The following is a 25,621-nucleotide window of genomic DNA, read 5'->3' as shown; positions in this document are numbered from 1 at the left end:
CTGATTTCTTCAAGGGTCTCTCCAGTCCATCAGACGCAGGCCAACCCAGGGTTTCTCTGCATTGCAATCCAACCAGCACCACCCCCCTGCTTACCAGCCTGCAGTAGCTCCCATGTCGCTTCAGGTTAAAATTCAGACTTCTTAGCAAGGCACTGCTTATTTCTCCAGCCTCTGTGACAGGCTCACACCCTACAATTGAGCCCTGCTGATCCTGGAGAAGCTCCCTCTGAGCCTTTGCACACCTGTCCCTGCTACTTGAGGGTGATTTCCACCTGGTTACCTCCTGGCATCACCTCCCACCTGGAAGCCTTCCTCATCTCTGGGGTGGGTCAGATGTAGCCAATTTTGCCCTCTTCCTACACACCCTGCGTTTCCTCTCTCCCAGCGTTCATCCCGTGATATACAATAAGCAATTGACTAACTTGTCCTTAAGACCAGGGCCATACCATGTCTTCTTGGTGACAAACGAGGGAGCAGCGAGCACTTTTGCCCTCTAATGGCATCTCTGGATCACCAGCTGGAGGCCTTGGGACTCTAAGAGCCAAGCTATTCAAGTGCTACAAATAACACTGCATGGCCCCCGGTCTTTCCTGTTTCCTCTCTGCATCTATCAAGAAGGAGCAGCTATTTTTTGAAGCCCGGCTTTCCTTCTCACGGGTTTGCACACCCCCACCCTGCTTGGCCTCCAAACTCAGAGCCTTAACTTTCCTATAAATTCAGTTTCTCTCCAACTCAACTTGATTCATTCATGCAGGCTCCTAGTTCTCTCTCTCTCTGCCATTCCAATTCTCCTCTTTCCATTACATTTAAGAGAACCCTGGCTGGGCATGGTGGCTCACACCTGTAATCCCAACACTTTGGGAGGCCAAGGCAGGTGGATCACCTGAGGTCAGGAGATTGAGATCAGCCTGGCCAATATGGCGAAACCCCATCTCTACTGAAAAACAAAAATTGGCTGGGTGTGGTGGTACATGCCTGTAGTCCCAGCTAATCGGGATGCTGAGGCAGGAGAATCGCTTAAACCTGAGAGGCAGAGGTTGCAATCACACCACTGCACTCCAGCTTGGGTGACAGAGTGAGACTCTGTCTCAAAAAAAAACCCTAAAACGACCAAGAAAAGGACATTCATTTATGGTATAAGAGCGGAAACCAAAAGGCAGAGGTTCCTCGATGGAGCTCTGCTGGGACCGTGCTTATCAGCCATTCAACCTCTTCAGCACTTGGCGCACATCCAGGAAAGCTCTGCTGGGATTGATTTAGGGGCTATAAATAAACATTATCAAGTAGGTGAATTTGCAGCTACAGAATCTGCAGGTAATGAGGATTGATTGTAGATGCACCAATGAACTGGAGGTCAGATTTTCAACTTAACCGTCCAGGAGATGGCCAGCGACCAAGAGCTAGAAAAAAGGATTCCTGGAAGGTGGTGAAGAAAATAGAAGTCTTAGAGGCTCAGAGACAGACGAAGGTAATCCCTCAGCTGTCACCTGAGCTGTGGCTATAAAATGAGGCAACAGATTTAAGAATAGTAAGCATAAGATTGAGGCCAGGCTCAGTAGCTTGTGCCTGTAATCCCAGCACTTTGGGAGGCCAAGGCAGGTGGATCACTTGAAGTTGGGAGTTAGAGACCAGCCTAGCCAACATGGTGAAACTCTATCTGTACTAAAAATACAAAAAAAAATAGCCAGGCATGGTGGCACACGCCTGTAATCCCAGCTTCTTGGGAGGCTAAGGCAGGAGAATCGCTTGAACTGGGGAGGTGGAGGTTGCAGTGAGCTGAGATCTCGCCACAGCACTCCATCCTGGGCAACAGAGCAAGACTACATCTCAAAAAAAAGAAAAAGAAAAAGAAAAAAAAGATTGAGGCAGTCAGAAGCAAACACCCTCAGCAAAGGAAGGATGAGGGGGAGTGAATAAAGGGTCCACAGGAGAATTAAGAAAGTGTAGGCCCTTGGGGCCATTCGGTGAAGCAAAGCCCGGTCACTGGCGAGTGTGCCTGGAAATCAATTAAGGATGAATATGAAGCTTGAGACCAGGCCAGCATAATCACCATGTAGGCGCCCGTATTTCTTTACATTTGCTGACTGTGTTTCTGTGAAATACAAAGGAAGAAATGCTGTGACTTCCCCTCATTCTACGGTGAAACCAAAGAAGGAGAAACTGAGAGACCTGTGCGAAGTCCTCCACCAAGCCAATGGGGAGGCTGGAATAGACACAGCCGGTCACCCGACCTGTTCTCTAGGCACGGCTTTTTGGATTTGCCACTTACATCTGCTTCAAGTTTTAGAAACTTCCAGGCTCTGGCTTTTTTGCTGCTTTGGGGAACAAAGCATGTTCGGTCAAGTGTACGGCAAACCTGTCTTGCTCCTAAATCCAATCATCTTCAAAATAGATGTTTGAGGTTTATAGTGCTACTCTCCAAATGTCATTATCATCCCTAAAGTGAAAAAAAAAAAGGTTTAATTATTATGAGCAGTGAAATTACCATATAATCTTCCAATTAACTGAATAAGGCACCAAATAAGTGCCCTCAAGCCTTAATTTCTACCTTGAAGTTAAGGTAGGTATCATGATTACCTGGATCATCCTACACATCCTCAAAGTGGGCAGAGTTGAAAGGCTGTCTAAGCGGGTGGGGTGGAAGGCGGTGCCCTTCTCCTTCTTGTCTGTTTGTCAAGCTCTGTTGGTCCTTCTGATTGGTTAGCGACCCTGAGTGTTTCTGAGAGCCTTTTGTTGAATGTGGGGGCAGAACCACTAATCTGGCCAATTCCAAGCAGAAAAGATCAAGTACAGATTTCATATCTGAGTATTAAGTGCTAGTAAAAAGTTGCATGAAGTTATCAAATGCACTGTGATCCTGGCTTCATCGCCAAGTGGCTCTGCAGTTTGAGGATTATGATGCATCCCGAAGAAAAGAAAATTGTTCCGTTTAGATGTTTGGGGTAAAGGGGGATTGATCCAGTTACTTTTCAAATAATCTAAGTCAGATGGTGTTCGCTGCATAACTTTCTAAGGTTGGTACTTGGTCAAAGAACAAGGTGATCATTTTTATAGGATTGAAGGCCTTTGGTTGAAAAGGCATGAAGAAGTTTCTACCAGTCCTGTTTGAAATAAAATAGTAGTGTAATCTAAAGATTGTAATACAAGACCAACACAGCACATTTAGAGTAACTTTTGAAAATTGCTTGACTGATGTGCTTCTCTCTCTCTCTCTTTCCGTAGACGTGTGTGTAGCATATTACACAGAGAAATCTATAAGCCCTGGGTTATGTTGGTTGCTGATGAGGATTAATCAGAAGCTACTACTCACTTATTCACCTTTGATCTGCTCTTGTTCTGGTAGTCTTCTTCACTGTCTCATTCATTCAAGAACTGTTCATTGGGCTGGGTGCGGTGGTTCACACCTGTAATCCCAGCACTTTGGGAGGCTGAGATGGGTGGATCATGATGTCAGGAGTTTGAGACCAACCTGGCCAACATGGTGAAACCCCATCTCTACTAAAAATACAAAAATTAGCTGGGCCTGGTGGCATGCGCCTGTAATCCCAGCTACTCGGGAGGCTGAGACAGGAGAATTGCTTGAACCTGGGAGGCAGAGGTTGCAGTGAGCTGAGATTGCACCACTGCACTCCAGCCTGGGTGACATAGCAAGACTCCATCTCAGGAAAAAAAAAAAAATTCATGGTCATGTCAGCATCCTCCCCATCCCCCCTTCCCCAGATCAACCCAAAAAATGGAGAAAAATCTGGAAGTCCACTCCTTTAGACCACTCATGCTAAGTATTTAGCATTGCACACTTTGTGAGTGTGCAAGCCAGTTATATTAGTTCATTCTTGCATTGCTATAAAGAAATACCTGAGACTGGGTAATTTATACTTGATCTTAGCCAAAAGGCTGAGAAGCAATGGGATTGGGTAATTTACAAGGAAAGAGGTTGAATTGGCTCACTGTTCTGCAGACCGTACGGGAAGCATAGCAGCTTCTGCTTCTGGTGAGGCCTCAGGAAGCTTCCAATCATGGCAGAAGATGAAGGAGGAGCAGTTCTCTTACATGGCAGGAGCAGGAGCCAGAGAAAATGACTGGTGGAGGTGCTGTGCACTTTTTTTGTTTTTTTTTTTGAGATAGAGTCTTGCTCTGTCATCCAAGCTGGAGTGCAGTGGTGTGATCTTGGCTCACTGCAACCTCTGCCTCCTGAGCTCAAGTGATTCTCCTGCCTCAGCCTCCCAAGTAGCTGGGATTACAGGGGCCAACAAACACGCTGGCTACTTTTTGTATTTTTACTAGAGACAGGGTTTTGCCATGTTGGCCAGGCTGGTCTTGAACTCCTGACCTCAGGTGATCCACCCACCTCAGCCTTTCAAAATGCTGGGATTACAGGCATGAGCCACCACGCCCGGCCCCACACACTTTTAAATGACCAGATCTCACGAGAACTCACTCACTATTGTGAGTACAATATCAAAGAGAATAGTGCTAAACCATCCATGGGAAACCTGCCCCCATGATCCAGTTGCCTCCCACCAGGCCCCAGCTCCAACACTGGGGATTACAATTCAACACACAATTTGGTGGAGATAGAGATCCAAACTCTATCACCAGCCCTTCTGCTTTCACCTCCCCCGTTTTAAACAACCAGGGTTTGAATTGCCTGTTCTACTTCTGTGCCAAATTATGACTCTGAAGAGGATGCCTCTCTGCCCATTGTTGGACATTATGGGCTGTACAGAGTGCTCCTTTTTCTGAAGCAATGACGTTGGCCATCAAGATTCATGCACTATCTCCTGTTCTGTTTTTTTTTTCTTTTTTTTTTTTTTGTGTGAGACAGAGTCTCCCTCTGTCTCCCAGGCTGTAGTGCAATGGCATGATCTCGGCTCACTGCAACCTCCGCCTCCTGGGTTCAGGTGATTCTTCCACCTCAGCCTCCCGAGTAGCTGGGATTGGCTAATTTTTTTTTTGTATTTTTGTAGTGACGGGGTGTCACCATGTTTGCCAGGCTGGTCTTGAACTCCTGACCTCAGGTCATCTGTCTGCCTCAGCCTCCCAAAGTGCTGGGATTACAGGCATGCGCCACCATGCTTGGCCTTTTTTCTTTTTTTTAATTGCACTCTGCTGTTTGCATCTTCTAAAAACAAACAAAACCCAGTCCAGAGACAGTGTCTATTCCTGTCAAGACCTAGATGCAGCCCCCCAGGGCTGCCAGCATCCATCTCACTTGCCAGTTATGTTAAGAGCTTTCCCACCAGTGAATGTGCCTCGCAGCAGTGGGCAGTCTCTGTTTCTCTTGCTGGCAGACAGAATAGTTCTTTTTTTTTTTTGAGACGTTGTCCCACTCTTGTTGCCCAGGCTGGAGTCCAATGGCATCATCTCGGCTCACCGCAACCTCCGCCTCCTGGGTACAAGCAAGTCTCCTGCCTCAGCTGGGATTATAGGCAAACACCACCACGCCCCGGTAATTTTGTATATTTAGTAGAGATGGGGTTTCTCCATGTTGGTCAGGCTGGTCTCAAACTCCCAACCTCAGGTGATCCACCCGCCTCAGCCTCCCAAAGTGCTGGAACTACAGGCTTGAGCCACCGCACCCAGTGACAGAACAGTTCTTATTGGCATTTTGAGCCCAAGGGGCATGGCTAGATTCAGCCCATCTCTACACTGCTGCAGAACGGCCTTGTTCACTCATTTCATGGGCCCAGGTGACCACCTCACAGGAGCACACACAAAAAATCCACTTGGTGACTCCAGCCACCTCCTGAGCCTGGAAGGGAGTTTTTCTGATGGGCGTGAACCTGTTCTACTTCAAGGCATCTTTCACCTCTCCACAGGGCTGTGCCCCATATGGACATCCGTTAATAAGCCAGGTGGCGATTGCCCTCTTGCCTGAGTGTACAGCCAAGACACTGGTCACTGCCCAGGAGTCAGTAAAAACCCAAACAGGGGGCTTCTACCACTGTTCAACTGATCAAATATATATTTCACAATATCACACTCCTGTGGAACACTTTGGGACACATACCATGATTCTTTGAAAATCAGTTACTGGCATCATTCTAGTATAAATCAGTGGCTAGGAAAACAGCATGCAATTCAGCTCACTGAGCTGACTGATTTTTACCGTCCTTAGCCAGAGTAGCAGCCCTCCAAACAGGATGTTGTTTGTTCACCTCGAAATTGTCATTCATAGACACCAAACAGCTGGGGGTGAGTGAGTTGAGAGCTGGTTATATAGGGCACTCTCGAACTGTTGATAGAATCCAGCAGCTCCTCACCGTTCCAGAGTCAATCGTAGGAGAAAAGACACTCCCTGCTTGGGAATATCCCCTCTCTGCATTCCCCAGGTAGCATGATCCAGTATAAACCATTTCCATTTTATTATGTTTCTTTCTTTCTTTCTTTCTTTTTCTGAGATGGAGTCTTGCTCTTGTTGCCCAGGCTGGAGTGCAATGATGTGATCTCGGCTCACTGCAACCTCCGCCTCCCAGGTTCAAGCTATTCTCCTGCATCAGCCTACTGAGTAGCTGGGATTACAGGCATCCGCCACCATGCCCGGCTAATTTTTTGTATTTTTAGTAGAGACAGAGTTTCACCATGTTGGCCAGGCTGGTCTTAAACTCCTGATCTCAGGTGATACACCCACCTCGGTCTCCCAAAGTGCTGGGATTACAGGTGTGAGCCACTGCACTCAGCCACCTTCCTCCTTTTAAGGACTCTTGTGATTATATAAACCCCTTCCAGATAATCCAGGATAATCTCCCCCACTCAAAATCCTGAACTTAATCACATCTGCCAAGTCCCTTTTACCATCAATCTCTGGTAACATAATCAGTGGTCCTGGGGATTAAGGTCTGTGGACATCTTTGGGGGCCGTTATTCTGCCTACCACATGGACCATCTTTGACTTTCTTAACTTCCACCCACTTTTCATTTTTTTTTTTTTTTTTTTTGAGATGGAGTTTTGCTCTTGCTGCCCAGGCAGGCGTGTAATGGCGCAATCTCAGCTCACTGCAACCTCTGCCTCCCAGATTCAAGTGATTCACCTGCCTCAGCCTCCCACGTAACTGGGATTACAAGCACCTGCCACCATGCCTGGCTAATTTTGTATTTTTAGCAGAGATGGGGTTTTTCCATGTTAGTCAGCCTGGTCTTGAACTCTCAATCTCAGGTGATCCACCTGCCTCAGCCTCTCGAAGTGCTGGGATTACAAGCATGAGCCACCGCACCAGGCCCCTCCACTCATTTTTCAACCTTTTCCAAACAAGCTTCTGTCCCCACCACCCATTCCATATGGTTTCAAAATGGATCTTGATGGCCTCCGTGTTGCTGAAACTATGGGGTTGTCCTAGCTGTCCTTCTTCCTGAGCTTTTGGCACTGTAGACCAAACAGCTTGAGCCATCGGCAGGTAGCCAGGAGGACCAGAGCATTTGGGTGATGGCTGGTCCTCATGAGCCTGTCCTGCTGTCACCTAGCAGCCCATCCTGGTGGGACTGAGGCTGGCTATGGAAAGCGTTCCGCACCCCCTTGCTCCATGAGTTACCCAGGGCTCCACGTGCCTAGGATTTCTTTATTGTTTAAAAGTGTAGGTCAGATAACTGCAGGTGAAGTTTTCTTAAAAATTTTTGTTCACATATCCAAAGTGGATAACTGGGTGAGCTTTCACAAAGTAAAGCACATGCACGCCATGCAGATCAAGGAACAGGGCATGGCCAGCTTGCCTGAGCGCCTCATTCTCCCCTCCCTAACGCTAGCTCCTCTCCTCCCAAAGGTAATGCTATCCTGGGGATAGGGATTTTTTTTTTCCTTTTAAATAGACTTAATGTGTTAGAGAAGTTCTAGGTTCATAGAAAAATGGAGCAGAGGCCAGGTGCCATGGCTCACACCTGTAATCCCAGCACTCTGAGAGGCTGAGGTGGGCAGATCACGAGGTCAGGAGTTTGAGACCAGACTGACCAACATGATGAAACCCTGTCTCTACTAAAAATACAAAAAATTAGCTGGGCCTGGTGGTGCATGCCTGTAATCCTAGCTACTTGGGAGGCTGAGGCAGGAGAACTGCTTGAACCTGGGAGGTGGAGGTTGCAGTGGGCTGAGATCTTACCTCTGTATTCCAGCCTGGGTGACAAAGAAAGAAGAAAAGAAAGGAGAAAGAAACAGAGAGAGAGATAGAAAGGAGGGAGGGAAGGAAGGAAGGGAAGGAAAAGGAAAGAAAGAGATAAGAAAAGAAAGAAAGAAAAATGGAACAGAAAGTGCAGTTTTCATCAACCTCTACTCCCACCTGCCACACATACACACGTGCAGCTTCCCCCACTAGCAATATCAAACCTGAGTGGGATATTTTTCATAATCAATAAACCTACATTGACACATCACTATCACCTACAGTCCATAGTTTACATGAGGGCTCACTCTTGGTGTTGTACATTGCGTGGGTTTGGACATATGGACAATGACGTGGATCCACCATTGTAGTATCACACAGAGTAGTTTCACTGCCTAAAAATCTTCTGTGTTTCACCAATTCATTCCTCCTTTGTCCTGACCTCTGGAAACCATGGATATTTTCACTGTCTCCATAGTTTTGCTTTATCCAGAATGTCAAATAGTTGGAACTATACAGTGTGCAGCCTTTTCGGATGGGCTTCTTTCACTTAGGAATATGCATTTAAGATTTCTCCATGTCTTTTTGTGGTTTGATAGCTCATTTCATTTTAGTGCTAAATAACATTCCATTGTCTGGATGTGGGCCTAGGCTTGTTTTTTTTGTTTGTTTGTTTGTTTTTGTTTTTGTTTTTCTTTTTTGAGATGGGGTTTTGCTCTGTTTCCCCGGCTGGAGTGCAGTGGCACAATCTCGGCTCACTGCAGCCTCCGCCTCCAGGGTTCAAGCAATTTCCCCACCTCAGCCTCCAGCGTAGCTGGGATTAAAGTGGGGCACCACCACACCCATCTAATTTTTTGCATTTTTAGTAGAGACTGGATTTCACCATGTTGGCCAAGCTGGTCTCAAACTCCTGACCTCAGGTGATCCACCCACCTCAGCCTCCCAAAGTGTTGGGATCACAGATGTGAGCCACCACACCTGGCTGGGCCTAGGTTTTTGAAGAAGGAATTGAACTGAGTGTAGGCCAGATTGTACTGCTGAAGTGTCTTCTTTGTACTTGGAATGTGCTAGGACAGATAGACTTCAAAGTGCAAAGCGCCTGAAGGATCTGGCATTAGTCAATTCTATGCGCTGAGCTTCGGCCCCCAGAAAACCACTCTCAGAGTAAGAATATGGTAAGGCCGGCTGGATAGGTGGGGCATGGATTGGAGGCTCAGGCCACTGCACTACACATACAGGTCTTGATGTAAACGGTCTGGCGGAGGTCAAGTTCTGTTTAGCGGGGATAGACTATGTGACAGAGTGAAGAAAGGTAATGGTCTAAACACAGCAAAAGTTTCATTCCCACTCATGTGACAGTCTGTGGAGCAGGAAGCTCCTCTCCTCATGAACCTGGGACCCAGGTATCTTCCATCTTGTGGCTCTGCTTCTCCAGAGCCTTGTCATTTTTTTCATCTAGCTATGGTGACAAGATCTTTTGGATAAGCCATGAATATTAAACCAAATTCAAACTCTGAAAATTGATCTGACGTGTGGTCAGCTGCTCATTTGGCACAGTCCAGGGAATGCTGGGGTGATGGACAAGAAGGTTTTCATGAGGAGGCTGAAGAGATCTAAGTATAGGGGTGCCAGCCTGGGGCACTGCAGAAGGGGCACTGGCCTAGGGGTAGCATCAGGGTGACCCTGATTTCCCTGTGGCAGGGTGTGGCTCATGACGGGGTGCTGAGAACCCACCCAGAAGGCTGGAACTTTCAGTACTCATTGTTTTATGAGAGACTGCCTGTGTGCCAGGAGGGAAGACACGAACCAGAGGCCCAGGGCCACTGAAGGGTCTCAGCCTGGTCTCTTGGTGCCTGGGGGGTACACTGTACAAGCGATAATGTACTTCCAAGGGGCAGGACTCCGACCCACACTCTTGGTGCCAATGTCCGTTTTGCCACTCATGTTAGATTTTGCTTCTTTAAGTGAACTTACTCAGGATAGCTGGGTTCTGGGCCATTCTTCCAGTGGTTTTCAAGGGTGAAAAAAGGAGTTTCAGCAAGACAGCTAACGTCTGGATGAGTGAACCAGGAAGTGTCTGTAGCCTTCCTCCAGAGAGCACTCTGGGCTGGTGGGCGTGAGGACACCTGTTTAATGCACATCCACGTGAAGAGACCACCAAACAGGCTTTATGTGAGCAGCATGGCTGTTTATTTCACCTGGGTGCAGGCAGGCTGAGTCTGAGAAGAGAGTCAGTGCAGGGAGATAGGGGTGGGGCCATTTTATAGGATTTGGATAGGTAAAGGAAAATTACAGTCAAAGGGGGGTTGTTCTCTGGCGGGCAGAGTGGGGGTCACAAGGTACTCAGTGGGGGAGGTTTTGAGCCAGGATGAGCCAGGAGAAGGAATTTCACAAGATAAATGTCATCAGTTAAGGTGGGAATAGGCCATTTTCACTTCTTTTGTGGTGGAATATCATCAGTTAAGGCAGGAACCGGCCATCTGGATGTATATGTGCAGGTCACAGGGGATATGATGGCTTAGCTTGGGCTCAGAGGCCTGACGTTCCTGTCTTCTTATATTAATAAGAAAAATAAAATGAAATAGTGGTAAAGTGTTGGGACAGCGAAAATTTTGGGGGATGGTATGGAGAGATAATGGGCGATGTTTCTCAGGGCTGCTTCGAGCAGGATTAGGGACCGTGTGGGAACCTAGAGTGGGAGAGATTAAGCTGAAGGAAGATTTTGTGGTAAGGGGTGATATTGTGGGGTTGTTAGAAGGAACATTTGTCATTTAGAATTATTGGTGATGGCCTGGATACAGTTTTGTATGAATTGAAAAACTAAATGGAATAAGAGAAGGAGAAAAACAGGTATTAAAGGTCTAAGAATTGGGAGGATCTAGGACATCTGATTAGAGAGTGCCTAAGGAGATTCAGCATAGTCCTGCCAGCAAAGATTCTTTATTTACTTCAAGAGTTAAGAGTGGCAGTTTGGGGATAGCACCAGGAGATATCAGCTGTGATGGCTTGGAGAAACAGTGTAAACTGGCAGTGTAAACAAGAGCAGGGCATGTATGAGTAGTTGAGAACGGTGAATAGGAGTATGACAGACAGCAGATAGTAGGGATGACAAGTTTTTTGGGGGCACAGTCTAACTTGGTCTGGTGTCTGGAATGAGACTGGGGCCTAATAAAAAGGAGCATCTGTACAGGAGCTCAAATGGGCTGTATTTTGTAGCATTCTGAGGACAGGTCTGACTTCTGAGAAGGGAAAGTGGTAAAAGTATTGTCCAGTGCTTTTGAAGTTGGTGGCTGAGCTTGGTGAGGTGTGTTTTTAAAATACCTTTAGTCCATTCTACTTTTCCTGAAGACTGAGGACTGTAAGGGATATAAAGGTTTCACTGAATACTAAGAGCCTGAAAAACTGCTTGGCTGATTTGACTAATAAAGACTGGTCTGTTATCAGACTGTATAGAGGTGGGAAGGCTAAACTGAGGAATTATGTCTGACAGAAGGGAAGAAATGACTGCGGTGGCCTTCTCAGACCCTGTAGGAAAGGCCTGTACCTATCCAGTGAAAGTGTCTACCTAGACCAAGAGGTATTTTAGTTATCTGACTCGGGGCATGTTGAGTAAAGCTAATTTGCCAGTCCTGGATGGGGGCAAATCCTCGAGCTTGATGTGTAGGGAAGGGCCTGAATAATCCCTGAGGAGTAGTAGAATAGCAGATGGAACACTGAGAAGTTATTTCCTTGAGGATAGATTTCCACGATGGAAAGAAAATGAGAGGTTCTAAGAGGTGGGCTAGTGGGTTGTACTATAGCATAGCCTGCCTTTGCTGGTGTGTGGCGATTAGGCCTGGTGGAACTGCCATCAATAAATCAAGCTTGATCAGGTGAGGAACAGGAAAGAAGGAAATATGGGGAAATGGGGTGAATGTCAGGTGGATCAGAGAGATACTGTCATGGGGGTCAGGTGCGGTATCAGGAATAATGTGGGAGGCCGGACTGAAGTCTGGGCCAGGAACAATGGTAATTGTGGGACTTAACAAAGAGTGAGTACAGCTGAAGGAGCCGGGGAGCAGAAAGTATATGCATCAGCTGTGAGGAAGAAAATAGATTTTGGAAGTTATGAGAAATGTAGAGAGTAAGTTGAGCATAGTTTGTGATTTTGAGGGCCTCTAAAAGTATTAGGGCATCAGCAGCCGCTGCACGGAGATATGATGTCTTGGCTAAAACAATAAGGTCAAGTTGTTTGGACAGAAAGGCTACAGGGTGCAGTCCTGGCTCTTGTGTAAGAATTCTGACCGCCCTAACCATGCCTAGGAAGGAAAGGGTTGTTGTTTTGTAAGGGATTGAGGTTTGGGAGATTAATCGGACATGATCAGCAGGGAGAGCACGTGTGTTTTTATGAGAATTATGCTGAGGTAGGTAACAGATGAGGAAGAAATTTGGGCTTGACTGAAGTAATGGGGGCTGTCTGTGAAGCCTTGCAGCAGTACAGCCCAGGTAATTTGCTGAGCCTGATGGGTGTCAGGGTCAGTCCAAGTGAAAGCGAAGAGAGGCTGGGATGATGGGTGCAAAGGAATAGTAAAGAAAGCATGTTTGAGATCCAGAACAAAATAATGGATTGTGGAGGGAGGTATCGAGGATAGGAGAGTATATGTGTTTGGCACCACAGGGTGGATAGGCAAAACAATTTGGTTGATAGAGTGCAGATCCTGAACTAACTTGTAAGGCTTGTCTGGTTTTAGGACAGGTAAAATGGGGCAACTGTAAGGAGCTTTAAAAGGCCATGCTGTAGCAGGTGAGTGATAACAGGCTTTAATCCTTTCAAAGCATGCTGTGGGATGGGATATTGGCGTTGAGTGGAGTAAGGGTGATTAGGTTTTAATGAGATGGTAAGAGGTGCATGATCGGTCACCAAGGAGGGAGTAGAGGTATCCTATACTTGTGGGTTAAGGTGGGGAGATACAAGAGGAGGATGTGAAGGAGGCTTTGAACTGGGGGAAAAGTCAGCAATGAGGTTTGGCTGTAGCCCAGGAATAGTCAGGGAAGCAGATAATTTAGTTAAAGTGTCTCAGCCTAATAAGGGAACTGGGCAGGTGGGGATAACTAAAAGGAGTGCTTAAAAGAGTATTGTCTAAGTTGGCACCAGAGTTCGGGAGTTTTAAGAGGTTTAGAAGCCTGGCCGTGAATACCCACAACAGTTATGGAGGCAAGGGAAACAGGCCTTTGAAAAGAAGGTAATGTGGAGTGGGTAGCCTCCGTATTGATTAAGAAGGGGACGGACTTACCCTCCACTGTGAGAGTTACCTAAAGCTCGGGGTCCATGATGGTCTACAGGGCTTCCGAGGCAATCGGGCAGCATCTGTCTTCAGCCGCTAAGCTGAGAAGGAGTCAGTCAGAGAGGCTTGGGCCAGAGTTCCAGGGGCTCTGGGAGTGGCTGCCAGGTGAGTTGAACAGTCCGATTTCCAGTGGGGTCCCGCACAGATGGGACGCAGCTTAGGAGGAATCCTGGGGTGCAGGCATTCCTTGGCCTGGTGGCCAGATTTCTGGCACTTGTGGCAAGCTCCTGGGGGAGGAGGTTCTGGAGGAACACCTGGCCGCTGCGGTTCAGGTGTTTGGAAGTTCTTCTGTGCTGGAGATGTGGCTGGGGTTTGTCTCACAGTGGAGGTAAGGAATTACAACTTTTTTCTATTATGGTACACCTTGAAGGTAAGGTTAATTAAATCTTTTGTGGGGTTTGAGGGCCAGAATTTAATTTTTGGAGTTTTATTTAATGTAGGGAGCAGATTGGGAAATAAAATGTATATTGAGAATAAGACGGCCTTTTGACTTTTTAGGGTCTAGGGCTGTAAAGCCTCTCAGGGTTGCTGCCGAACAAGCCATGAACTGGGCTGGATTTTTATATTTGATGAAAAAGAGGCTAAACGCTATCTGATTTGGGATAAAGAAAAAGGAGCATTAACCTTGACTATGTCTTTAGCTCCAGCCACCCTTTTAAGAGTAAATTGCTGGGCAGGTTGGGGAGGGCTAGTCACGGAATGAAACTGTAAGCGGGACCGGGTGTGAGGAGGGGAGGTGATAAGAAGATTACAGGGTGGAGGAGCGGGGGCTGCGGAAGAATTGGGACTTAGCTCAGCCTGGCGAGGAGCAGCCTGGGAAGGAGGGGAGAGGTCAGATGGGTCTGTAGAACAGGAAGATTAGAAAGACTCAGCAATGCTTGGGTTTGGGACTGAGGGGACAGGCAGGAGGGAAAGGAGGAAGATTTGGGATGAGTTGCTTTGGGCACAGAGACTAGGGAGGGGCCAATGTGGAAAAGAATGCCTGGATGTCAGGCACCTCAGACCGTTTGCCTATTTTATGACAAGAATTATTTAGATCTTGCAGGATGGAAAAATTGAAAGTGCCATTTTCTGGCTATTTGGAACTATTGTTGAGTTTGTATTGGGGTCAAGCGGCATTGCAGAAGAAAATAAGATGCTTAGATTTTAGGTCAGGTGAGAGTTGAAGAGGTTTTAAGTTCTTAAAAACACAGGCTAAGGGAGAAGAAGGAGGAAAGGAGGGTGGAAGGTTGCCCATAGTGTAGGAAGCAAGCCCAGAGAGAAGAGAGAGTAGAGACATGGAGGGAAGGGGTTTGGGGGTTCTTCCCCTCCAGAAAAGTGGGAAAGGGGTCAGGGCACAGAGATACGAGGTCCAGGCATGGAAATAAGGGATTGGGGTGCAGAGATATAAGAGGTCAGGTTGTAGAAATAAGGGATTGGGGCACAGAGATAAGAGGTCAGGGCATGGATATAAGGGATTCGGGTGCAGAGATAAGATGTGGTACTTGCCCCTCCCCAAGAAAAGTGGGTCTTGCCACTAAGGGTGAAGGAAAAGGGGTTGGGGGTTTCTTGTCCCCCAGAAAGGTGGAGAAGGGGTAGAGACATGGAGAAAAGTGGTTGGGGTACTTTCCCCTCCCACAGAAAAGCAGGACTTGCCGCTAAGGGTGAAGGACCAAGGCAGGTGTCCCTGCATGGTCTGACACCTTTGAAACGTGGGTGAATAATCAGAGAGGCTTCCCTGCAATGATTAAACACCAAGGGAAGGCTGCCTTCCCAGTCCGTGACCTGCACTGGAGTTTTGGGTCCACAGATAAAATGTGTCTCCTTTGTCTCTACCAGAAAATGAAAGGAATTGAAATTAAGAGAAGGGAGAGATTGAAGAGTGGAAAGGAGAAAGTGGTTGAGGGACAGTGAGAGAGGTTGGAGAAGAGAGTAAGAAGAGGCTGCTTGCCCAATTTAAAATTGGTGAGATGTTCCTTGAGCTGGTGGGTCTGAGGACCTGAGGTTGTAGGTGGATCTTTTTCACAGAGCAAAGAACTGGAGGACATGGGATTGATCTCCCAAGGGAGGTCCCCCGATCCCAGTCACTGCACCAAATTTCATGCGCATCCGTGTGAAGAGACCACCAAACAGGCTTTATGTGAGCAACATGGCTGTTTATTTCACCTGGGTGCAGGGGGGCTGAGTCTGAAAAGAGAGTCAGTGAAGGGAGATGGGGTGGGGCTGTTTTATAGGATTTGGGTAGGTAAAGGAAAATTACAGTCAAAGGGGGAGTTGTTCTCTGGTGGGCAGAGTGGGGGTCACAAGGTACTCAGTGGGGGAGGTTTTGAGCCAGGATGAGCCAGGAGAAGGAATTTCACAAGACAATGTCATCAGTTAAGGCAGGAACAGGCCATTTTCACTTCTTTTGTGGTGGAATGTCATCACTTAAGGCAGGAACCAGCCATCTGGATGTGTATGTGCGGGTCACAGGGGATATGATGGCTTAGCTTGGGCTCAGAGGCCTGACACCCAGGGCAGGCTGGCTCAGCCCCTTTGACTTCAGATTTCAGGAAGGCCAGGGAGCTGGATTGGGTGCCTGGATTTTCTGAGAATTATATTTCTGAGAGGATTTTGAGACCTAAACAGGAATACTTTACACACAGGTCATCAAGCAGGAACTGGGAATTTCAGAAGCTGCCCTTCTTCATGCCACCTCCTCCCTTCAGAGGCCAAGGGCTACCAAGCTGTCTCCCACACATCTCAGTGAAAAGTCCCTGGCTGTCCTCCCAGCCACCTCGCTGTGACCTTGTGAGGTGTGAGAAGGAGGAAGGGGATCTACGTTCTGGATGAACCTTCCTTCCTCCTTGCAGAGAAATAGTTTAGGCCCCTGCGCCTGCTGGGCCTCAGACCTTCTCAGAGCCCAGGGCCCACTGTGGCTCCTGCAAGCTGCCTGGGAATTCCACGGAGGCTGACTGGCTGCCTGTCTTATTCCGAGTCTGCTGCAACCCATTTCCTAAGCTTGGGTGGCTGAAAACGACAGAAATTCATCCTCTCACAGTTCTGGAGGCCAGAGTCTGAATGCAGTTGTTGGCAGGGCTGTGCTGCCTTTGAAGGTTCTAGGGAAGAATCCTTCCTGGCCTTTTCCAGTTTTGGGTGGTGGCTGGCAATGCGCAGCATCCCTTGGCTTCAGGTGCATCATTCCAGCTGCACGCAGCTGTCTTCCCTCTGTGTCTCTTCTTTTCTTCTTATAAGGATTCCAGTCATAGGGTGTTAAGGGCCCACCTTACTCCAGTATGTCGCCAAGTTAATTCGTTACATCTGCAACCACGCTATTTCCAAATGTCACATTCTGAGGTTCCTGATTGAAGGGGTGGGTTGCCACTCCACACCTGTGGGCATTTTTCGTCAGGTGGAACGAGAGACTTGGAAAAGAAAGAGACACAGAGACAAAGTATACAGAAAGAAAATAGGGCCCAGGGGACCACCGTTCAGCATACGGAGGACCTGTGCCAGCACCAGCCTCTGAGTTCCCTTAGTATTTCTTGATCATTATCGGATGTTTCCCAGAGAGGGGGACTTGGCAGGACAATAGGGTAATAGTGGAGAGAAGGTCAGTAGGAAAACACGTGAACAAAGGACTCTGCATCATAAACAAGGTAAAGAATTAAGTGCTGTGCTTTTGATGTGCATACACATAAACATCTTAATCCATTAAAGAGCAGTATTGCTGCCAGCATGTCCCACCTCCAGCCCTAAGGTGGTTTTCCCTTATCTCAGTAGATGGAATATACAATCGGGCTTGACACCGAGACATTCCATTGCCCAGGGACAAGCAGGAGACAGATGCCTTCCTCTTATCTCAACTGCAAAGAGGCCTTCCTCTTTCACTAATCCTCAGCACAGACCGTTTACGGGTGTCGGGCTGGGGGACAGTCAGGTCTTTCCCTTCCCAGGAGGCCATATCTCAGGCTATCACATGGGGAGAAATCTTGGACAATACCCGGCTTTCCTAGGCAGAGGTTCCTGCAGCCTTCAGCAGTTTTGTGTCTCTGGGTACTTGAGAGTAGGGAGTGGTGATGACTCTGAACAAGCTGCTGCCTTCAAGCATTTGTTTAACAAAGCACACCCTGCACAGCCCTTAATCCATTTAACCCTGAGTTGACACAGCACATGTCTCAGGGAGCACAGGGTTGGGGGTAGGGTTACAGATTAACAGCATTTCAAGGCAGAAGAATTTTTCTTAGTACAGAACTAAACGGAGTCTCTTATTTCTACTTTCTACACAGACACAGTAACAATCTGATCTCTCTTTCTTTTCCCCACATTGATGAATGTGAATTTGAAAGGACACCATTCAACCCACAGCAGAGCCCCACCATCACCTCTCTGCACAGGGCACCCTGCCTGTCTTTCCTCTCCAGCACCAAGACAGAGCCACGAGTGATTTCTTGAAATGAAACTGCACCCTCTCATCCCAATAAGACATGGCCTCACTAGTGGGAGATGAGCAAATGAAAGCCTCCCTCAGGATGGGCATCCACACGTCCAGGGGATACTCACCCCAATTTTTTTTTCCTGGTTTATAAAGGTGCTTCAGGACTTCTTGGCTCCTGGCCAATACCTTAGTGCTTCCTGAAGAGGAAAGAGCTCTCCAAACCATTCAGTGGGCCATCCCAGACCAAGGTTTCTGACCCAGACATTGAAACAGTAGCCAGACTCTCCACCGACCACCCCCAACTGAATTCCACATCTCCCCACTGTCAAAAGCCTGCCAGCATCTGCTGATGTCTGTCGGTGTGCTCTTCTGCTTCTCTGCTCCTCTCGACGTCCAGCCACTTGTGTCTGTGCCCACTAGGGTCTTGGGTTTTTTATGGACACAGAATGGGGCTCACAGCAGGCCAGAGTAGTCTTGGAAAATGCAACATTTGGACATGAAAACAGGAGTGCCTGTTCTCACTAAGGTCCAAGGGCACAAGCCCGAGGGCAGAGCCCTCGCTAGGGTCCCCACCCTTCTCTACCCAGCACTCCCCTGCCCCCTTTCCATATCAACATGAAAGCTGACATTGGCTCCTGTGCCCCACCTCTGGGCCTGGTTTTGTGACCTCTGCACCAGAGCTGCTAGGGAGGCCCTACCCCACATGTTGTTAACTCAACAGTCCTTCCCCAGGGGAACCAACGTCCTCCTGTCCCCAAACCCAAGGAGGAATGGTGGGTTCCTGGGCCTCTTGTAACCCGACTGAATATTTTCTAGGTTACCTAACCAAACTCCTGCAAAACCACACCATCTATGCCTGTGATGGGGACTATCTGAATCTACAGTGCCCTTGGCATTCTACAGTAAGTGTCCAATTGGCATTTTATGGGCAAGATTACCAAATGTGTAGTTCCCAGAAGCCTGCCTCCCAGAGGGAAGACAGCTTAACCTGTGTGGCATCCACCACCTTCCAGGTATTGCCTTTTATAGACACGTTAAGATGATACAGTTTCAACAGACACTCTTTCTGTCTCTCTAGGTATAAATATATTTGTGATTATATAGTTCAATCCAAGCAAAACTGATCCATGAAAAATCCCAACTTATACAGATCACCAGTTTTGTAGGTGAGCTATTATTTGCTTCTCAAAGGATTTGTTACCCAACAAAACTAAATAGAATTCCTACCTATTGTAGAGCCCCCTTTGTACACTTCAATATGAATGTATTTGTAGGTTTACTCCTTACTTCAGTAGAGCAAAGTACAACCAGGATAGATTCCAACCTCCAGGCCCATATCTCCCATAAATACTCCTGTAGAAAGGGAAGGTGGGTTCTTTAATGGAAACCACAAGTATCTCTTTGAGGCAGACATCTGAACTCATGACCAACTTCTTAGAAAATGTACTCAAAGGGCCAGGAACAGTGGCTCATGCCTGTAATCCCAGCACTTTGGGAGGCCAAGGCAGGTGGATCATGAGGTCAGGAGATTGAGACCATCCTGGCTCACACGGTGAAACCCTGTCTCTACTAAAAATACAAAAAATTATCCGGGTGTTGTGGTGGGCACCTGTAGTCCCAGCTACTCTGGAGGCTGAGGCAGGAGAATGGCATGAACCTGGGAGGTGGAGCTTGCAGTAAGCAGAGATCAGGCCACTGCACTCCAGCCTGGGCAACAGAGCAAGACTCCGTCTCAAAAAAAAAAAAAAAAAAAATCATTATTAAACATTTTTACTAATTAAATGGTTTTGGAGTACATTCTTTAAAAAAAAATTAACTATGTTTTCTTCAACAGTGCATATGTAATGCCAACTTTGTATGATATTGCAAAGAAAGATTTTACTATGTTAAGCAGATTAAACAAACAAACAAAGTTTTCCTTGAATTCTTTGGGAACAAAGTACAACCTGGTCCAAATCATCCTTACCTAGAATGCACCATCAGCTTGACAGTCAGTTGTTCCTGGATTTACCAGATTTGGGGCAGACTTTTCATGCTTCTCTAAGGAGGGATCCTTAACTGACACCATGCCTTGTTTTTGCCCTTTTCCTAGTAAAGGAAATGATTTGATTTGGTATCATATCATCTTTCTTGCTTTTTTTTTTTTTTAAATTAGAGATGAGGCCTTGCTATGTTTCCCAGGCTGGTCTCCAAATTCTGGGCTCAAGCGATCCTCCTCCCTCAGCCTCCCTCCCAAAATGCTGGGATTACGGGTGTGAGCCACAGTGCCTGGCCTCTTTCTTGTCTTTTAAACAAATAAATGTAAGCTGGGCATGGTGTGCATTCATATATTCCCAGGTACTTGAGAAGCTGAGGCGAGAGGATCCCTTGAGCCTAGGTTTGAGCCCAAGAGTTCAAGGCTGCAGTGAGCTATGATTGCACCACTGCACTCCAGCCTGGGTAACAGAGTGAAACCCTGTCTCTGAAAAACTAAACTAATGCTGGGCATTGTGGTTCACGCCTGTAATCCCAGCACTTTGGGAGGCTGAGGCAGGCGGATCACGAGGTCAGGAGATGGAGACCATCCTGGCTAACAGGTTGAAACCCTGTCTCTACTAAAAATACAAAATTATCTGGGCATGGTGAAGTATGCCTGTAATCCCAGCTACTTGGGAGGCTGTGACAAGGAGAATCACTTGAACCTGGTAGGCGGAATTGGCAGTGAGCTGAGATCTCACCACTGCACTCAGCTTGGGTGATGGCAGTGAGCTGAAATCTCACCACTGCACTCAGCTTGGGTGAGAAGGGTGAAACTCTGTCTCAAAAAAAAAAAAAAAAAAAAAAAGACACCATCCTGTTTTCATGGGGTGAACAGTTGAGGGAGAAAGGCAAGCATTAACCAAATAGCCAGACACATCATCATGCCCTATTGTGACAAATGCTATTTTAGAAAAGGGAAGAAGACTATAGCAGTGGAGGGGGCCTAATTTAGCTTGGGTTGGTGGTTTAAGTCTTCCAAAGAGAACCATCCTGTACGGTGAACACTAGGGTATGTGCACTAGCTGCACACTAGGGGCTGAGACGCTGAGGCTGCTGAGTGGGAGAGGAAAGGTATTGATAAGGAGGAAGATGGCCCTGGTTTAAACTGCTGAGAACAGGGTCCTGCACACAGTAGGAGCTCCATGAAGAGTGGTCCCTAGTGTTTTCACCAACATATCTGAAGTGGAGCAGGACGGTGATCAATCACACCCCAGTCCCCGACCTCATTCTAAAACAGTATGAAACAAGGAGATGCAAAAATCTGACAAGTGTGTTGACAACGGTGATTTTAAAGGTCCTAAAAGATTCTCTGGATATCGGAGCCAATTTCACATAGTAGAGGGGCACATTCCCTGCAGTGGCCTGTGTCATACACAGCCAATTTCACCTTTTCACTGCCTGGTGATTCTGCAAAGTGCATCCTAGAATGACCTTCCTCTCTGAGCTCCTCTTCAAAATTCTGATTCTTTCTCAAACTGTAAAGCCTCTGGCATTTGCCAAGAGCCAAGGCCCTCCTGAAGCCACAGTTTGAGAACAAGCCAAGAGGCAGACATGAGAAAGAAGTCCCACCCCTGGCAGGGAGAGCTGACACTTCCCGGGCTACTGCATCCTTCTCAGGGCCCAGAAATGAATGAGAGGCAATTAAAGCAGAAAGCATTTTGCAGCAGCTCAGCTCAGCTCAGCTCTCCGAAGCTGTCATGGTCCCAGGATCAGTGGTGTGCCCTGAGGACAGCCAAGGGACATTCCTTGAGGCCCTGGAAATCATCAGCCAACTCCAGCAGCTTCACCGGGCCTCCCTGGGAAGTCTCCCTTGCTGCTGATGGGCACGAAGGCACCAGGGCCTCCTGTACCTGGAAAACTCACAATCTAGGAATGTCCTGTGGTTGTTGATCCTGGGACATCCCCAGAAGAATTTAGTTAAGCCCTCCAAGAAAGGAAACAAGGTTTTCTTGCTGCTGAAGATGTCTCACTTGTTCTTTTTTTAAAAAGCAGTGCAATTGAATTTGCAGTTTGTTTTTGCTTTCTTTCCATTTCCTGTTGCTACTTCTCCAAGATCTCAGCTGGGCTGAGGAACAAACAAAAATAAGCAATTTTATGCAGGAGGAATATTTGGTTTCCACTCCCTTCTCCCAGCCTGCGGCAGTGTGCTTGGCCTGCAGAATTCTTGCTCTGCCCTCTGTTTCAGCGGGTGTTGTCATCTGCCAGCTGCTTTGCCTGGGGGTTCTGACATCCCAGGGCTTACTCTTAGCGTCAGTTCAGCAGAGTCTTCAACCACCTTCAAAGGAGTCGGTCACGCTGCCATCCTCTCTGCATCTTTCTGTCTTCCTTTCTGATAATATTTAGCAAATCACTTTAGCACAGAGTCTTCGAATTCTTTCCAGATTTACGATGGAAACACAGAGGCAAAGAGCTTGGGGTAGAAAGCAGAAGAGCAGGTGCTGGGAGAGTTTAATGGTGGATTTTGAGTTGGTCACAGTCATTTTGCTTTACTAAGTCCAGGGAAGCTCATCTTCAGAGTTAACCACTGTGTGTGTGTGCATATATATATATATATATATATGTATATATGTATATATACATATGTGTATATATGTATATATACATATGTGTATATATGTATATATACATATGTGTATATATGTATATATACATATGTGTATATATGTGTATATATATGTATATATATGTATATATATACATATGTGTATATATATATATGTATATATATATTTTTTTTTTTTTTGAGATGGAGTCTTGCTCTGTCACCCAGGCTGGAGTGCAGTGGCACACTCTCAGCTCACTGCAACCTCCACTTCCTGGGTTGAAGTGAGCACGTCCGGCTAATTTTTGTATTTTTTAGTAGAGATGGGGTTTCACCATGTTGGCCAGGCTGGTCTTGAACTCCTGACTCAAGTGTTCCACCTGCCTCAGACTCCCAAAGTGCCAGGATTACAGGCGTGAGCCACCATGCCCGGCCCAGAGTTAACCACTCTATTGAGGTGTTGTTTATTTTTCTTAAAATTCTATTACACATGAATAAAATTCAATGATTTTTAATAAATTTAGAGTTGTGCAACCATCACTACCCTCCAGTTTTAAAACATTTTCACAATCCCCCGAAGCTCCCTTGTGCCCATTTGCCATCACTGCCCCATTTCCAACCCCCCAGTCCCAGGACACCACGCATCTACTTTCTCTCTAGATTTGCCTTTTCTGAATATTTCATACAAATGGAATTATGCAATGGATGTTTTGTGTGTGTGTGCATGGCTGACGTCTTTAACTGAATGTAATGTTTCAGAGGTTCATCCATGTTGTAGCATGTATCATATCAGTACTTCACTTTTTTTTTTTGGAGTTGAAGTCTCACGCTGTCACCCAGGCTGGGATGCAGTGGTGTGATCTTCGCTCACTGCAACCTCTGCCTCCCGGGTTCAAGCAATTCTCCCTGCCTCAGCCTCCCAAGTAGCTGGGATTACAGCCTTGTGCCACCAAGCCCAGCTAACTTTGTATTTTTAGTACAGATGGGGTTTCAAATATGTTGGCCAGGCTGGTCTCGAACTCCTGACCTCAAGTAATCTGTCCACCTCTACCTCCCAAAGTGCTGGGATTACAGGTGTAAGCCACCATGCCGAGCTTTTCATTCCTTTTTATTACTGAGGTGTATTCTGCTGGATGGATATATCATATCTTGTTTTTATTCTCCATTTTTTAAATATTGCAAATTGGGCCTAAACCCACCTCTCTGGAGCATTTGATGATCACGTGGATGCCATTGGGTTGTGTGTATGTATGTGTATGTAACAGGGAGAGGGAGTGACTCCTGCACCAATTTGGAAAGTGATTTTAAAATCTTATCTACATTGCATTTAAAAATATATTAAGAGTCCACATTTTAAAAATATACCACATATTTAAAATATTTCTTCTTGGCTTTTAGTTCCCAAGAACATACTCACAGTGATTGATCCAGCCATTGCTAATCTAAAACCTTCTTTGAAGCAGAAAGATGGTGAATATGGTAATTTTTATGGCTTACTACCAGCATTTCTCTTTAAGTAAAGGTAAACAGCCCCTGGGTGACCACAGTTGGGCATACCTTGATTAGAATGGAAGGGGCTGTCAGGAGGTGTGTTTGAGGTACAGGTCCTGGTGATGATAGTGCTTTGGCCAATAGTTGCAATGAACACCAATTTATTTTGTTTTGACTTTTTTAACATCAGAAGTAGGAAAAACCTCCCCTTCATTCTCCTCTCACTTCCTAAAAGGAAAATCACTTTGAAAAGACATCTGCTCAGAAATATATTTGGGCTTCCTGGGTTACACAATGAACTTTTGCAAAGCTCAGCCCATTGGAACCTGCATAGGTGCCAGTGCCGGCTAGGACCTGAGGTCCTCTGTACATGCCACCTTCCTCTTTAGTTTACTTCTTTCCTTCCTTCCTTCCTTCCTTCCTTCCTTCCTTCCTTCCTTCCTTCCTTTTGCTTCGGAGTTTCACTCTTGTCACCCAGGGCCAGCTAGGACCTGAGGGCCTCTGTACCTCTGTACACGCCACCTTCCTCCTTAGTTTCCTTCCTCCCTTCCTTCCTCCCTCCCTCCCTCTCTCTCTTTTCTTCCTTCCTTCCTTCTTCTCCTTCCTCCTCTTCTTTCTTTCTCTCTCTCTCTCTTTCTTTCTCTTTCTCTCTCTTTCTTTCTTTCCCTCCCTCCCTCCCTCTCTCCCTCTCTCTCTCTCTTTCTCTCTTTCTCTCTCTCTTTCTTTCTTTCTTCCTTTCTTTCTTCTTTTTCTTTGGAGTTTCACTTTTTCTCACCCAGGCTGGAGTGCAGTGGCACAATCTCCACTCACTGCAACCTCTGCCCCCGGGTTCAAGTGATTCTCCTGCCTCAGCCTCCCAAGTAGCTGGGATTATAGGTGTCCACCACCACACCTTGCTAATTTTTGTGTTTTCAGTAGAGACGGGGTTTTACCATATTAGTCAGGCTGGTCTCGAACTCCTGACCTCAGGTGTTCCCCTCACCTCAGCCTCCCAAAGTGGTGGGATTACAGGTGTGAACCACTGCACCCGGCCCCTCCTTAGTTTTCACTTGGCTTTTGTAAATGGGGTGGACGGGTGGGGGGGGGGTTGACGGGGTTGAGCATTTGGATTTTCTTATCAAATCTAGAATGGAATTCAAACCCATGGGGCCCCTAATAGAAATTGCAGAGACCCAGTAGAGCATCTAAGATGTGAGGCTTTGGTGAGAGTTTTGTCTCGTGTTACCTTTATTGTATGTATTAGGTCTTTCCCCCCTAAGTATAAAAATAAAGTATGTTTGATATGAAAACCACATGAAAGCACCCCTAGTCCAAATGCTCAGAGAGAACTATGGTAATGTTCTTCTGTGTCCTTCTAGCTGGCCACCTTGGCTTTCTGGCAGGCTCTGTGTTCCTTAGCTCCACTTCTGTTTCTTTTTTTAAAAAAAAATTAACTAATTAATTAACTATTATTATTATTTTTCTAAAGACAGGGCTTTGCCAAGTTGCCCTGGCTGGTCTCGAACACCCAGGCTCAAGCAATCCACCCACTTCATCCTCCAAAGGTGCTGGGATTACAGGTGTGGGCCACCACACCCAGCCTCCACTTATTTTTCTAACAGGGTTCCCACCCGATCCATAAACAGCCTGGTCCCCCTGCAATGGGGGCCTGAGAGCCAGCGCTGTGCCATCTCTCCTCAAAGGCATCTGTCCTGTGTGACATGGCTAGGAATCCCCCAAGCCACCACCAGGCTACCCTATCACAGGCTTGCTAAGCTCC

General features: G+C 46.8%; 1 long non-coding RNA gene and 1 pseudogene across 1 annotated transcript, besides 3 other annotated features; both read left to right on the top strand.

Annotated features, from left to right (window-relative positions):
• The first annotated feature begins 12,451 nt into the window (after positions 1-12,451).
• LOC105369358 (uncharacterized) lies at positions 12,452-17,025 on the top strand. Its single transcript, XR_001748277.1, has 3 exons — positions 12,452-12,493; positions 13,413-13,519; positions 16,039-17,025. It is a non-coding gene; the product is annotated as an uncharacterized LOC105369358 (long non-coding RNA).
• Positions 15,617-16,142: an enhancer, noted in NCBI's record as "OCT4-NANOG-H3K27ac-H3K4me1 hESC enhancer chr11:67526917-67527442 (GRCh37/hg19 assembly coordinates)". NCBI's record gives its function as "activates a minimal SCP1, AML or CMV promoter by ChIP-STARR-seq in primed H9 embryonic stem cells {active_cell/tissue: H9 hESC(primed)}" and the evidence as "EXISTENCE:reporter gene assay evidence [ECO:0000049][PMID:30033119]".
• Positions 16,671-17,196: an enhancer, noted in NCBI's record as "OCT4-NANOG-H3K27ac-H3K4me1 hESC enhancer chr11:67525863-67526388 (GRCh37/hg19 assembly coordinates)". NCBI's record gives its function as "activates a minimal SCP1, AML or CMV promoter by ChIP-STARR-seq in naive H9 embryonic stem cells {active_cell/tissue: H9 hESC(naive)}" and the evidence as "EXISTENCE:reporter gene assay evidence [ECO:0000049][PMID:30033119]".
• Positions 17,197-17,724: an enhancer, noted in NCBI's record as "OCT4-NANOG-H3K27ac hESC enhancer chr11:67525335-67525862 (GRCh37/hg19 assembly coordinates)". NCBI's record gives its function as "activates a minimal SCP1, AML or CMV promoter by ChIP-STARR-seq in naive H9 embryonic stem cells {active_cell/tissue: H9 hESC(naive)}" and the evidence as "EXISTENCE:reporter gene assay evidence [ECO:0000049][PMID:30033119]".
• On the top strand, positions 18,619-23,853 carry EVA1CP4 (EVA1C pseudogene 4; annotated as a pseudogene).

Source organism: Homo sapiens, chromosome 11 (genome assembly GCF_000001405.40).
Source record: "Homo sapiens chromosome 11, GRCh38.p14 Primary Assembly".
Classification (NCBI taxonomy): Eukaryota; Metazoa; Chordata; class Mammalia; order Primates; family Hominidae; genus Homo; species Homo sapiens.
The sequence above is the reverse complement of the archived record's forward strand: the minus strand, read 5'-3'. Positions and strand labels throughout refer to the sequence as shown.